Source organism: Homo sapiens, chromosome 7 (assembly GCF_000001405.40).
Source record: "Homo sapiens chromosome 7, GRCh38.p14 Primary Assembly".
NCBI lineage: Eukaryota > Metazoa > Chordata > Mammalia > Primates > Hominidae > Homo > Homo sapiens.
Window position 1 is genome coordinate 66,097,451 of NC_000007.14, and position 15,358 is coordinate 66,112,808.

The following is a 15,358-nucleotide window of genomic DNA, read 5'->3' on the forward strand; positions in this document are numbered from 1 at the left end:
CAGGCGCCTGCTACCAGGCCTGGCTAATTTTTTTTTTGTATTTTTAGTAGAGACGGGGTTTCACCGTGTTAGGCAGGATGGTCTTGATGTCCTTACCTCGTGATCCACCCGCCTCAGCTTCCCAAAGTGCTGGGATTACAGGCATGAGCCTCCGCGCCCAGCTGTGCCATTACTTTCAATGGCAAAACCGGCAATTACTTTTGGACGGATACAATAGTAACATCAAGGATCACTGGTCATAGATCAGCATGACAGATATTATTACAATAATAGGCTGGCGCGGTGGCTCACACCTGTTATCCCAGCACTTTGGGAGGCCGAGGCAGGTGGATCACCTGAGGTCAGAAGTTCAAGACCAGCCTGACTAACATGGTGAAACCCCATCTCTACTAAAATGCTAAAAATTAGCTAGGTGTGGTGGTGCACGCCTCTAGTCCCAGCTACTTGGGAGGCTGAGGCAGCAGAATTGCTTGAACCCCAGAGGTGGAGGTTGCAGTGAACCAACATCATGCCATTGCACACCAGCCTGGGCAACAAAAGCAAAACTCTATCTCATTAAATAAATAAATAAAGCCTGAGCAACAAGAGTGAAACTCTATCTCAATAAATAAATAAATAAATAAAACAATAATCCTGGGCACAGAGGCTCACGCCTGTAATCCCAGCACTTTGGGAGGCTGAGGCGGGTGGATCACCTGAGGTCAGGAGTTTGAGACCAGCCTGGCCAACATGGTGAAACCCCATCTCTACTAAAAATACAAAACTTAGCTGGACATGGTGGCGGGCGCCTGTAATCTCAGCTACTCGGGAGGCTGAAGCAGAATTGCTTGATCCCAGGAGGCAGAAGTTGTAGTGAGCCGAGATTGCACCATTGCACTCCAGCCTGGGTGACAAGAGCAAGACTCTGTCTTTAAAAAATAAATAAAAAAATAGTGGCTGGGCGCGGTGGCTCATGCCTGTAATCCCAGCACTTTGGGAGGCCGAGGCAGGTGGATCACCTGAGGTCAGGAGTTCGAGACCAGCCTGGCCAACATGGTGAAACCCTATCTCTACTAAAAATACAAAAATTAGCCGGGTGTGGTGGCGGGAGCCTGTAGTCCCAGCTACTTGGGAAGCTGAGGCAGGAGACTTGCTTGAACCCGGGAGGCAGAGGTTGCAGTGAGCTGAGATCATGCCACTGCACTCCAGCCTGGGTGACAGAGGGAGACTCTGTCTAAAAATAAATGAATAAGTAAGTAAATAAATAAATAAATACATACATAAGAAAGAAGGAGGAGTGGGGGGGGGAGGAGGAGGAGGAGGAACGGGAGGAAACAGCCAGGCCGTGGCTCATGCCTGTAAAGGAGGAAGAGGAGGAGGAAGAAACAGCCAGGCACAGTGGCTCAAGCCTGTAAAGGAGGAGGAGGAAACAGCCAGGTGTGGTGGCTCATGCCTGTTAAAGGAGGAGGAGGAGGAGAAGGAAGAGGAGGAGGAGGAGGAGGAAGAAACAGCCAGGAGCAGTGGAGGAGCAGGAGATGGAGGAGGAGGAGGAAGAAGAGGAGGAGGAGAAAGAAGAGGAGGTGGAGGAGGAGGAGTGGAGGAGAGGAGAGGAGGAGAGGAGGAGGAGAGGAGGAGGAGGAGAGGAGGCGGAGAGGAGAGGAGGAGGAGAGGAGGAGGAGAGGAGGAGGAGGGGAGGAGGAGGAGAGGAGAGGAGGAGGGGAGGAGAAGGAGGGGAGGAGAAGGAGCGGAGGAGGAGGGGAGTAGAAGGAGTGGAGGAGAGGAGGCGGAGAGGAGAGGAGGAGAGGAGGCGGAGAGGAGAGGAGGAGGAGAGGAGGAGGAGAGGAGGAGGAGGGGAGGAGGAGGAGGGGAGGAGAAGGAGCGGAGGAGGAGGGGAGTAGAAGGAGGGGAGGAGGAGGGGAGGAGGAGGGGAGGAGGAGGAGGGGAGGAGGAGGAGAGAAGGAGAGGAGAAGGAGGGGAGGAGGAGGAGAGGAGGAGAGGGGGAGGAGGAGAGGAGGAGGAGGGGAGGAGGAGGAGAGGAGGAGGAGAAGGAGGTGGAGGAGGAGGAGAAGGAGGTGGAGGAGGAGGAGGTGGAGAAGGAGGTGGAAGAGGAGGAAAGGAAGAAGGGAGGAGGAGGAAAGGAGGGGGAGGAGGGAGGGGGAGAAGAGGAGGAGGGGGAGAAGGAGGAGAGGGAGGAGGAGAAGGAAACGGCGAGGCTTGGTGGCTTACACCTGTAGAGGAGGAGTAGGAGGAAGAAACAGCCAGGCTCCCTGGCTCAGGTCTGTAAAGGAGGAGGAGAATGAGGAGGAGGAGGAGAAGGAAGAAACAGCCAGGCCTGGTGGCTCTCACACCTGTAAAGGAAGAGGAAGAGGAGGAGGAGCAGGAGGAAACAGCCAGGCGTGGTGGCTCACGCCTGTAAAGGAGAAAGAGGAGGAAGAAACAGCCAGGCACAGTGGCTCAAGCCTGCAAAGGAGGAGGAGGAAACAGCCAGTTGCAGTGGCTCACGCCTGTAGAGGAGGAGGAGGAGACAGCCAGGCACAGTGGCTCATGCCTGTAAAGGAGGAGGAGGAGGAGCAGGAGGAAGAAGAAACAGCCAGGAAGGGTGGCTCATGCCGGTAAAGGAGGAGAAGGAAGAGGAGGAGGAGGAGGAAACAGCCAGGCGAGGTGGCTCACGACTGTAAAGGACGAGGAGGAGGAGGAAGAGGGAGAAACAGCCAGGTGTGGTGGCGCAGCCTGTAAAGGAGGAGGAGGAGGAAACAGCCAGGCGAGGTGGCTTACGCCTGTAAAGGAGGAGGAGGAGGAGGAGGAGGAGGAAAAAACAGCCAAGCGCAGTGGCTCATGCCTGTAAAGGAGGAGGAGGAGAAGGAAACTACATGGATTGGTGGCTCAGGCCTGTAAAGGAGGAGGGGAGGGGAGGGGGGAGGAGGAGAAGGAAGAGACGGAAACTGCCAGGCACGGTGGCTCATGCCTGTAATCCCAGCAATTTGGGGGGCAGCAGTAAGGAGGAAGGAAGGAGGAGGAAAAAGAATGAGGAGGAGGAAAGAGGGAGGAAGAAAAAGAAACAGCCAAGCGGGCTTGGTGGCTCATACCCATACTCCCAGCTACTCCAGAGGCTGAGGCAGAAGAAACGCTTGAACCTGGGAGGCGGAGGTTGCAGTTAGCTGAGATCGGGCTACTGCACTCCAGCCTGGGCGACAGAGTGAGACTCCATCTCAAAAAAAAAAAAAAGAGCCAGGTGCAGTGGCTCACGCCTGTAATCCATCTATTTGGGAGGCTGAGGCGGGAAGATTGCTAGAAACCCAGGCGTTTGAGACCAGCCTGACCAACATAGTGAGACCCTGTTTTTACAAAAATAAAAATTTAAAAAAAAATTAAAAATTAGCCAGGAATGGTGGCACAAACCAGTCATCCCAGCTACTCAGAAGGCTGAGGCAAGAGGATCACTTGAGCCCAGGCGGTCAAGGCTGCAGTGAGCTATGGTCAAACCACTGCACTTGAGCCTGGGCAATGGAGTAAGACTCTGTCTCAAAAAAATAGTAATAAAGTTTGAAATACAATAAGAATTACCGAAATGTGACACAAAGACAGCGAATGAACACATGCTGTTGGAAAAACGGCACCAATACGCTACCTCAACACAGGGTTGCCACAATCCTCTAGTATGTTAAAAAATGGGCCACGCATGGTGACTCACGCCTGTAACTCCAGCACTTTGGGAGGCTGAGATGGGAGGATTGCTTGATGCCAGGAGTTCGAAACCAGCCTGGTCAACATAGCGAGACCCCCCCCCATCTAAATTGTTTTAAATATTATTATTATTATCTTTTTTTTTTGAGACAGAGTCTTGTTCTGTCGCTCAGGCTGGAGTGCAGTGGCACAATCTCAGCTCACTGCAAGCTCCGCCTCCTGGGTTCACGCCATTCTCCTGCCTCAGCCTCCCGAGTAGCTGGGACTACAGGTGCCCGCCACCACGCCCGGCTAATTTTTTTGTATTTTTAGTATATATGGGGTTTCACCGTGTTAGCCAGGATGGTCTCGATCTCCTGACCTTGTGATCCGCCCACCTCAGTCTCCCAAAGTGCTGGGATTACAGGCTTGAGCCACTGCGCCCGGCCTATTTATATTTTTAAATTTAAAAAATGTTAAGGAATGCAATATCTCTGAAGCACAATAAAGTGAAGTAAAAAAAAAAAAATGAGGCCAGGCACAGTGGCTCACACCTGTCATCCCAGCACTCTGGGAGGCCAAGGTGGGTGGGTAGCCTGAGATCAGGAGTTCGAGACCAGCCTGGCCAAACATGGTGAAACCCCATTTCTACTAAAAATTCAAAAATTAGAAGGGCATGTTGGTGCATGCCTGTAGTCCCAGCTACTCTGGAGGGTGAGGCAGGAGGATCTGTTGAGCCCCAGAGTTTGAGGCTTCATTGAGAGTTCTCATCATGTCACTGTACTCCAGCATAGCTGACAGAGTGAGACCCTACCTAAGAAAAAACTTATAAAATGGTGTATTAAGCCTGGGCTCGGTGGCTCATGCCTCTAATCCCAGTACTTTGGGAGGCCAAGGCGGGCGGATCACGAGGTCAGGAGTTCAAGACCAGCCTTGCCAACATGGTGAAACACTGTCTCTACTAAAAATAGAAAAATTAGCCAGGCATGGTGGTGCACGCCTGTAATTGCCACAGCCATCTCAACCTTCAGGAACCACTACCCTGATCAGTCAGCAGCCACCAACATCGAGGCAAGACCCTCCACTAACAAAAATGTAATGACTTACTGAAAGAAAACTCAGATGATCATTAATATTTTAAGCATTATTTTTAAGTTAAGGTATATACTTTTTTTTCTTTCTTTCTTTCTTTTTTTTTTTTTTTGAGGCAGAGTCTTGCTCTGTTGCCCAGGCTGGAGTGCAGTGGCGCATTCTCAGCTCACTGCAAACTCCGCCTCCCGGGCTCAAGCAATTCTCCCGCCTCAGCCTCCTGAGTAGCTGAGATTACACGCATGTGCCACCAGGCCCAGGTAATTTTTGTATTTTTAGTAGAGATGGGGTTTCTCCATGTTGGCCAGGCTGGTCTCAAACTCCTGCCCTCAGGTAATCTGCCTGCCTTGGCCTCCCAAAGTGCTGGGATTACAGGCGTGGGCCACCGCACCCGGCCTGTACATTGTTTTTATAGACATAATTTTATCGCATACTTAAGAGACTACAGAGGCGGGTGGATCATTTGAGGTCAAGAGTTCGAGACCAGCCTGACCAACATGGTGAAACCCCATCTCTACTAAAATACAAAAATTAGCCAGGCAGAGTGGCATGTGCCTGTAATCCCAGCTACTCGGGAGGCTGAGGCAGGAGAATCACTTGAACCCAGAAGGTGGAGGTTGCAGTGAGCCAAGATCACGCCACTGCACTTCAGCCTGGGTGACACAGCAAGACCCCCTCTCAAAAAATAAAAAAGTTAATTAATTAATAAAAGACTACAGAAGAGTGTAAACATAACTTTTTATTTTTTAAAGGAGGGTCTCACTAAAAGAGGCAAGAATGCAGTGGCATGATCATAGCTCACTGTAACCTTAAACGCCTGGGCTCAAGTGATCCACCTCCCTCAGCATCATGAGTAGCTGAGACTTTAGGTGTGTGCTGCCACATCCGGCTAATCTTTTTATTTTTAATTTTTTAGAAAGTGATTCTTGCTGTTTCCCAGGCTGTTCAAGACCAGCCTAGGCAACACAGGGAGACACCCATCTCTTAAAAAAAAAAAAAAAAAAAAAGTTTTCATTATTCTGGCATGGTGGTGCACACCTGGGGGATCTTGGCTCACTGCAACTGCCACCTCCCAAGTTCAATTGATTCTCCTGCCTCAGCCTCTCGAGTAGCTGGGATTACAGACATGTGCCACCATGCCTGGCTAATTTTTTATATTTTTAGTAGAGATGGGGTTTCTCCATGTTGGTAAGGCTGGTCTCGAACTCCTGACCTCAGGTGAGTCACCCGCCTCAGCCTTCCAAAGTGCTGGGATTACAGGCATGCGCCATCATGCCTGGCTAAGTTTTTGTATTTTTAGTAGAGATGGGGTTTTCTCCATGTTGGTCAGGCTGGTCTCGGACTCCCAACCTCAGGTGATTCAGCCGTCTTGGCCTTCCAAAGTGTGAGATTACGGGCATGAGCCACCGCGCCTGGCTGCAATTTCTTTTTTTTAATTTATTTTTATTTATTTATTTTGAGATGGAGTCTTGCTCTCTCGCCCAGGCTGGAATGCAGTGGCGTGATCTCAGCTCACTGCAAGCTCCGCCTCCCGGGTTCACGCCATTCTCCTGCCTCAGCCTCCCAAGAAGCTGGGACTACAGGTGCCCACCACCACACCCGACTAATTTTTTGTATTTTTAGTAGAGACGGGGTTTCACCATATTAGCCAGGATGGTCTCGATCTTCTGACCTCGTGATCTGCCCACCTCGGCCTCCCAAAGTGCTGGGATTACAGGCCCGAGCCACCGTGCCCGGTCGCAATTTCTTAAAATAAGACAACATTGAAGTTTGCAGCATCAATTGACTTCCACCGTCACTGTAGGATGTGATGCTGTTTGATAGCATTTTACACACGGCAGAACTTTTTTCAAAATTAGAGTCAATCTTCTCAAACCCTGCTCCTACTTTATCAACTAGGTTTTTATGTAGTATTCTAAATCTTTTGCTGTTATTTCAGCAATATTCACAGTATCTTCACCAGAAGTACATCCCATTGGAAGAAACCAATTTTTTTGCTCAGTCATAAGAAGCAATTGCTCATTCATTCAAGTTTGCTCATGGGATTGAGCAATTCACCTCCAGCTAATTTTTTTTTTTTTTTTTTGAGATGGAGCCTTGCCCTGTTGCCCAGGCTAGAGTGCAGTGGCACAATCTCTGCTCACTGCAACCTCTGCCTCCCGGGTTCAAGCGATTCTTCTGCCTCAGCCTCCTGAGTAGCTGGGAGTACAGGCGCGTGCCACCACACCTGGCTAATTTTTGTATTTTCAGTAGAGACGAGGTTTCACTGTATTGGGCAGGCTGGTCTCAAACTCCTGACCTCGTGATCTGCCCGACTCAGCCTCCCAAAGTGCTGGGATTACAGGCTTGAGCCACCGCACCCGGCCACAAAATATATTTCTTTTCTTTGAGATGGAGTTTTGCTCTTTCGCCCAGGCTGCAGTGAAGTGGCACAATCTCGGCTCACTGCAACCTTTACCCCCAGGTTCAAGTGATGCTCCTGTCTCAGCCTCTTAAGTAGCTGGGATTACAGGTGTCCACCACCATGCCTGGCTAATTTTTGTATTTTTAGTAGAGATGGGGTTTCACCATGTTGTTCAGGCTGGTCTCGAACTCCTGACCTCAGGTGACCCACCCACCTCAGCCTCCCAAAGTGCTGGGATTACAGGCCTGAGCCACCGCACCCAGCCCCACCTTTTCTTCTACAGCTTCCTCACCCCTCTTTGCCTTCATAGAATTCAGGAGAGTTAGAACCTTGCTCTGGATTAGGCTTTGGCTTAAGGGAATGTTGTGACTGGTTTGATCTTCTATCCAGACCAAACTTTCTCTGTATCAGCAATAAGGCTGCTTTGCTTTCTTCTCATTCGTGTGTTCACAGGAGTAGCACTTTTAATTTCCTTCAAGAACTTTTCCTGCCAGGCACGGTGGCTCATGCCTGTAATCCTAGCACTTTGGGAGGCCAAGGCAGGCAGATCATCTAAGGTCAGGAGTTCAAGACCAGCCTGGCCAACATGGGGAAAACCCGTTTCTACTAAAAATACAAAACATTAGCCGGTTGTTGGCACGTGCCTATAATCCCAGCTACTTGAGAGGCTGAGGCAGGACAATCACTGGAACCCCGGGAGCAGTGGTTGCAGGGAGCCGAGATTGTGCCATTGCACTTCAGCCTGGGCCACAGAGCGAGACTCCGTCTCAAGAGAGAGAGAGAAAAAAATAACTTTTCCTTTGTGTTCACAACTTGGTTAATGGGTACAAGAGGCTTTGCTTTTGTTCTTTCTCAGTCTTCAACATGTCTGCCTCATGATGTTTAATCATTTCTAGCTTTTGACATTAAGTGAGACATGTAGGACCCTTCCTTTCACTTTAACACTTAGAGGCCATTGTAGGCTTGTTAATTGACCTAATTTCAATATTGTTCTGTCTCAGGAAATAGGGAGACTCAAGAGGGCAAGAAGGCATGAGACGGAGGCACAGTTGGTCAGAGAGGCAGTTAGAACACACACATTTGTTGATTAAATTCACCATCTTAAATGGGCATGGTGTATGATGCCCAAAACAACTGTAGTAGTAATATCAAAGACCACTGATCACAGATCACCACAGCAGATATAGTAATAATTAAAAATTTGGGCTGGGCATGGTGGCTCAAGCCTGTAATCCCAGCACTTTGGGAGACAGAGGCGAGTGGATCACGTGGTCAGGAGATCGAGACTATCCTCGCTAACATGGTGAAACCCCGTCTCTACTAAAAAATACAAAAAATTAGCCAGGCGTGGTGGCCGGCGCCTGTAGTCCCAGCTACTCAGGAGGCTGAGGCAGGAGAATGGCGTGAACCTGGGAGGCGGAGCTTGCAGTGAGCCGAGATCACGCCACCGCACTCCAGCCTGGGTGACAGAGCGAGACTCCGCCTCAAAATAAATAAATAAATAAATAAAATAAAAGTTTGAAATACTGCCAGAATTACTGAACTGTGACACAGAGGTATGAAGTGAGCATGTGCTGTTGGAAAAATGCCACTGACAGACTTACCCAACACAGGGTTGCCACAAACCTTAAATTTGTAAAAAATGCAGTTTCTGTGAAGCACAATAAATCAAAGTGGAGTATAACAAGGTGTGCACATATGTGCTATGTCTGATTTATACTAAGTGTTCAATAAATAATAGTTGCTATGATTAATACATAAGGGCCTAGTGGGTCAAGATAAAGCTGGTTTGAAATAATAATAACAATTAGGACTGACATGTTTTTGTTTTTGGGATGGAGTCTCACTCTGTTGCCCAGGCTGGAGTGCAGTGGCACGATCTTGGTTTATTGCAACCTCCACCTCCTAGGTTCAAGCAATTCTCCTCCCTCGGCCTCCTGAGTAGGTGGGATTACACCAGTGTACACCACTACACCTGGCTAATTTTTTTATTTTTAGTAGAGACGGGGCTTCACCATGGTGGCTAGGCTGGTCTCGAACTCCTGACCTCAGGTGATCCCACCGCCTCGTCCTCCCGAAGTGCCGGGATTACAGAAGTGAGCCACCGTGCCTGGCCAGGACTGCTATGTTTTCAGTGTTTTTTATGTGCAAAGTACTATATGTGTCTATCTGTTGTCTTTTGCTGTGTAAGGAGACATCCCAGGTTGTAAAACAACTGTCACAATTATTACCTCTGATAATTCAGGGGGTTGAATTAGCTAGGAGGTCTTGCTTATGGTTCCTCATATGTTTACAGTACTGGCTGAAATCCTGTCTCAAAAGGAAGTGAGTCATGAAGACCAGACCATGTTTTTATTTTTATTTTTTATTTTATTATTATTATTTTTTGAGATGGAGTCTTGCTGTGTCACCCAGGTTGGAGTGCAGTGGCCCGATCTCTGCTCACTGCAAGCTCCACCTCCCGGGTTCACGCCATTCTCCTGCCTCAGCCTCCCAAGCAGTTGGGACTACAGGTGCCCACCACCACACAGGGCTAATTTTTGGTATTTTTAGTAGACACGGGGTTTCACTGTGTTAGCCAGGATGGTCTCTGTCTCCTGACCTCGTGATCCTTTCACCTTGGCTTCCCAAAGTGCTGGGATTAGAGGCATATGCCACCAAACCCGGCCTTCATTTTTATTTTTATTGTTCGAGATGGAGTCTTGCTCTGTCACCCAGGCTGGAGTGCAGTGGTTTGATCCTGGTCACAGCAACCTCCGCCTCCTGGGTTCAAGCAACTCTCCCTCAGCCTCCCAAGCAGCTGGGATTACAGGCATGCACCACCATGTGGGATCATTTCAAAAGCTTCCTCAGTCACACGTCTTGTATTTAGACTGGGAAGACTCGAATGGCTGAGGGCTGGGACAGACAGGACATCTCACAGTATAACTGTGTGATCTCTCCATGTAATCCCTCCAGCATGGTGGTGTGGAGGCAGCTGGGCTTCTTATAGGCTGGCTTCATGCTCCAAAGGCCCATAGCCCCAGAGAGAGCCAGGTGGGAGCTGCATTACCTTTTCTGACGCAGCCTCAGCAGTCATGCAGTCTCTTTGACCACATTCTACCTCTTAGAAGTGAGTCAGGGCCAGACGTGGTGGCTCATGCCTATAATCCCAGCACTTTGGGAGGCTGAGGTGGGCAGATCACCTGAGTGAGGTCAGGAGTTCAAGAGCAGCCTGGCTAACATGGTGAAACCTCATCTCTACTAAAAATACAAAAATTAGCTGGGTGTGGTGGCACATGCCTGCAATCCTAGCTACTCGGGAGGCTGAGGTAGGAGAATCGCTTGAACCCGGGAGGCAGAGGCTGCAGTGAGCCAAGATCGCGCCATTGCACTCCAGCCTGGAAAACAGAGGGAGGCTCTGTCTCAAAAAAAAAAAACAGAATTAGAAGAAGTAAGTTGGCCAGGCACAGTAACTCTCACATATAATCCCAGCACTTTGGGAGGCTGAAATCGGAGAATCATTTGAGCCTAGGAGTTCGAAACCAGCCTGGGCAATGGTGGTGAAACTCCATCTTTACAAAAAAATACAAAAATCTACCGAGAGCAGTGACTCACACCTGTAATCCCAGCACTTTGGAAGGCCGAGGTGGGCGGGTCGCCTGAGGTCAGGAGTTTGAGACCAGCCTGGCCAACATGGTGAAACATCATCTCTACAAAAAAATACAAAAATTAGCTGGGCGTGGTGGCAGGCACCTGTAATTCCAGCTACTTGGGACCCTGAGACAGGAGAATTGCTTGAACCCAGGAGGCAGAGGTTGCAGGGAGCTCAGACCGCGCCATTGCCCTCCAGCCTGGGCAACAGGAGTGCTACTCCATCTCAAAAAAAAAAAAAAAAAAAATCAGCTGGGTGTGGTGGTGAGCACCTATGGTCCCAGCTACTCAGGAGGCTAAGGTGGGAGGATCGCCAGAGCCCAGGAGGTCAAGGCTGCAGTGAGCCGTGATTGCGCCACTGCACTCCAGCCTGGGATACACAGTGAGATCCTGTCTCAAAAGAAAAGGAAGTAAGTCAGGAAGGCTAGACCATGTTCAAGGTGGGGAGGAGTTAGACTCCACTCCATGAGGGGTGTCAGAGAATTTGCAGACATGGGCTGGGCATGGTGGCTCACACCTGTAATCCCAGCACTTTGTGAGGCCAAGGCAGGCAGATCACAAGGTCAGGAGTTCGTGACCCGCCTGAACAACACAGTGAAACCCCCATCTCTACTAAAAATACAAAAATTAGCTGGGCAGGGTGGCAGGCACCTGAAATCCCAGATATTCAGGAGGCTGAGGCAGGAAAATTGCTTGAAACTGGGAGGCGGAAGTTGTGATGAGCCAAGATCATGCCACTGCACTCTTGCACTCCAGCCTGGGTGACAGAGCGAGACTCTGTCTCAAAAATAAAATAAAGAAATAAAGTAATAATAATAATAAGTGTGTAGCTCCTCCCCTCGTCTCTTGGTCCTGCTCCCCTTCACCTTTGTCATGAGTAGAAGATCCCTGAGTCCTCCCCAGAAGAAGATGCTGCCTTTCTTCCTCTAGAGCCTGTGGAACTGTAAGCTGATTAAACCACCTTTTTTTTTTTTTTTTTTTTTTTTTTTTGAGACAGTCTTGCTCTGTCGCCCAGGCTGGAGTACAGTGGCAGAATCTCGGCTCACTGCAAGCTCCACCTCCTGGGTTCACACCTTTCTCCTGCCTCAGCCTCCCAAGTAGCTGGGACTACAGGCACCCACCACCACGCCTGGCTAATTTTTTGTATTTTTTAGTAGAGACAGGTTTTCACTGACAGGATGGTCTTGATCTCCTGACCTCGTGATCCTCCCACCTTGGCCTCCAAAAGTGCTGGGATTATAGGCGTGAGCCGCCACGCCCAGCCAAACCACCTTTCTTTATAAATTATCTAGTCTCAGGTATTTCTTTTTTCTTTTTTAGTCTCAGGTATTCCTTTTTTTTTTTTTTTAAGACAGAGTCTTGCTGTGTTGCCCAGGCTGGAGTGCAGTGGTGCAATCTCAGCTCACTGCAAACTCTGCCTCCTGGGTGAAGAGATTCTCCTGCCTCAGCCTCCCCAGTAGCTGGGATTACAGGTGTGCGCCACCACGCCCAGCTAATTTTTTTTGTATTTTTTAGTAGAGACGGGGTTTCACCATGTTGGCCAGGCTGGTCTTAAACGCCTGACCTCATGATCTGCCTGCCTCAGCCTCCCAAAGTGCTGGGATTACAGACATGAGCCACCATGCCCGGCCTTCAGGTATTTCTTTATAGAAGTGTGAGAATGGAGTAATACAGAAGTCCTAAATCAGTCTCACTGGGTTAAAATCAAGGTGTTGGTAGGGCTGCAGTCCTTTTTTTTTGAGTCAGAGTCTCGCTCTGTTGCCCAGCCTGGAGTGCACGATCTTGGCTCACTGCAACCTACCCCTCCTGGGTTCAAGCAATTCTCCTACCTCAGCCTCCCAAGTTGCTGGGATTACAGGCGCCTGCCACCACACCCAGCTAATTTTTTAAATTTTTAGTAGAGACAGTGTTTCACCATGTTGGCTAGGCTGATCTCAAACTCCTGACCTCAAGTAATCCGCCTGCCTTGGGCTCCCAAAGTGATGGGATTACCGGTGTGAGCCGTGGCACCCAGCTGGGCTGCAGTCCTTTCTGGAAGCTTCACAGGAGAATCTGTTTTCTTGCCTTTTCCAGCTTCTACAGTTACCTACATTCCTTGGCTCATGGCCCCTTCCTCCATCTTCAAAGGCAGGAATATTGCATCTCTCAGATCATTCTTCCCTTCCCTAGCCACACCTCCCTTGGGCTCTGACATCAGGTGAGAATGATTTTATGCTTTTAATGATCCATGTGATTATGTTGATACCACATAGAAAATCCAGGATAATCTTTTCTTCTTAAGGTCCATACCCTTAATTGTCATGGTGATCAGCGACTATCCAGGACCAGAGGTGCAGACAGTAAAAAGAATGTTTACTCGGCTCACTGCAACCTCCGCTTCCCGGGCTCAAGTGGTTCTCCTACCTCAGTCTCCTGAGTAGCTGGGATTACAGGCGCCTGCCACCATGCCCGGCTAATTTTTGTATTTTCAGTAGAGATGAGGTTTCACCATGTTGGCCAGGCTGGTCTTGAACTCTTGGACTCAAGTGATCCACCCGCCTTGGCCTCCCGAAATGATGGGATGACAGGCATGAGCCACCGCACCTGGCCTACCGGGTATCATTCGAACACCCAGCTAACTCCCTACTCTAAGTCACACCTGAGCCATTTTATCATGGGGGCTGTCAGAGGCACTGCTGTTTTTCACTGAAGCCCATACCCAATCCCTCGGCCTCGTGTGCTTTTCCCTCACCCACTTCAAAGGCCCGTGGCTTTGGGACGCCTCTCCACCTCATTAGTCATTCCCTCCCCTGCCCATCGCGTCGAAACACAATGCATTGTGGTTATTTATGTCCAGAGCTGGTTCCTCAACTAGGCTGTCAGCTAGCCAGTGCAGAGGGTGTGTGTTAGTCACATTTGTATCATCAGCCCCCGATGGGCCATGGCTACATACTTGTTGAGTGAATAACACAAGGGGCATCTTTAGCATTTCTTTGTGGGGCCCAATCTCCTCAGCGAAGGTACAGGGAATTCTCCACACTAACTAGGCCAGCTGGGTCTGGGTGGCATTTTATGACTTTTTTGTTGTCGTTATTTTGCGATGGAGTCTTGCTCTGTCACCCAGGCTGGAGTGCAGTGGCGTGATCTGCAACCTCCGCCTCCCAGATTCAGACGATGCTCCTGCCTCAGCCTCCTGAGTAGCTACGATTACAGGCACGAGCCATCAAGCTGGTTAATTTCTATTTTTTTGGTAAAGATGAGGTTTCACCATGTTGCCCATGCTGGTCTCAAACTGGGCTCAAGCGATCCACCTGCCTTCATCTTCCAAAGTGCTGGGATTACAGGTGTGGACCACCACACTCAGCAGAGTAAAAAATGTTTAACAGCTTTATTAATATAGGATTAATATGCTGTACAATATGCCATTTAAAGTATACAACTCAGTGTCTTCAGTATATTCACAGGGTTGTGCAACCACCACCACCATCTATAATAATTTTAGACAATTTCTGTTTCCCAAAGAGAAACTCCCTACTTATTAGCAATCACTTCCCATCCTTGCCCCCAACCTAGCCTTCTGTCTGTATCCATAGATTGGCCTCTTCTTGGACATTCTATATAAAGTGAATCATACCATATGTATTCTTTTTTTTTTTTTTCTAGAAGGAGTCTCATTCTGTCACCCAGGCTGGAGTGCAGTGGCGTGATCTCGGCTCACTGCAACCTCCGCCTCCTGGGTTCAAGCAATTTTCCTGCCTCAGTCTCCCGAGTAGCTGGGATTACAGGTGCCCCCCACCACACCCAGCTACTTTTTGTATTTTTAGTAGAGACGGGGTTTCACCATGTTGGCTAGGCTGGTCTCGAACTACTGACCTCATGATCTGCCTGCCTCAGTCTCCTAAAGTGCTGGGATTACAGGCGTGAGCCACCACGCCTGGCGATTTTTGTATTTTCGGTAGAGACAGGGTTTCCCCATGTTAGCCAGGCTGGTCTTGAACTCCTGATCTCAGATGATCCACCCACCTCAGCCACCCAAAGTGCTGGGATTACAGGCGTGAGCCACCTGGCCAGGCAATATATATTATTTTGTGTCTGGCTTCTTTCACTTATTAATAGCATCATGTTTTGGGAGGTTATCCATCTTGCAGCATTTATCTATCAGTCTGTCTATATATATTTTTTGCAACAAGGTCTCTCACTCTGTAGGCTGGAGTGCAGTGGTGTGATCATAGTTCCCTGCAGCCTCTACCTTCTGGCTCAAGCGATTCTCCTACCTCAGCCTCCCCAGTAGCTGGGACTAGAGGTGCTCACCACCACACCTGGCTAACTTTTCGTAGTTAGGGGGTCTAGCTATGTTGCCCAGGCTGCTCTGGAACTCCTTGTCTCAAGAAATCCTCCTGCCTCTGCTCCCCAAAGTGCTGAGATCAAGCCTGGCCTCCTTTTTATTTTTATATTTTTGAGACAGAGTCTTGCCCTGTCTTCCAGGCTGGAGTGCAGTGGCACGATCTTGGCTCACTGCAAGCTCTGCCTTCTGGGTTCACGCCATTCTCCTGCCTCAGCCTCCCTAGTAGCTGGGACTACAGGCGCCCACCACCACGCCCGGCTAATTTT

General features: G+C 49.4%; 1 annotated feature.

Moving 5' to 3' along the window:
* Positions 2,755-3,316: an enhancer, noted in NCBI's record as "H3K27ac hESC enhancer chr7:65565192-65565753 (GRCh37/hg19 assembly coordinates)". NCBI's record gives its function as "activates a minimal SCP1, AML or CMV promoter by ChIP-STARR-seq in primed H9 embryonic stem cells {active_cell/tissue: H9 hESC(primed)}" and the evidence as "EXISTENCE:reporter gene assay evidence [ECO:0000049][PMID:30033119]".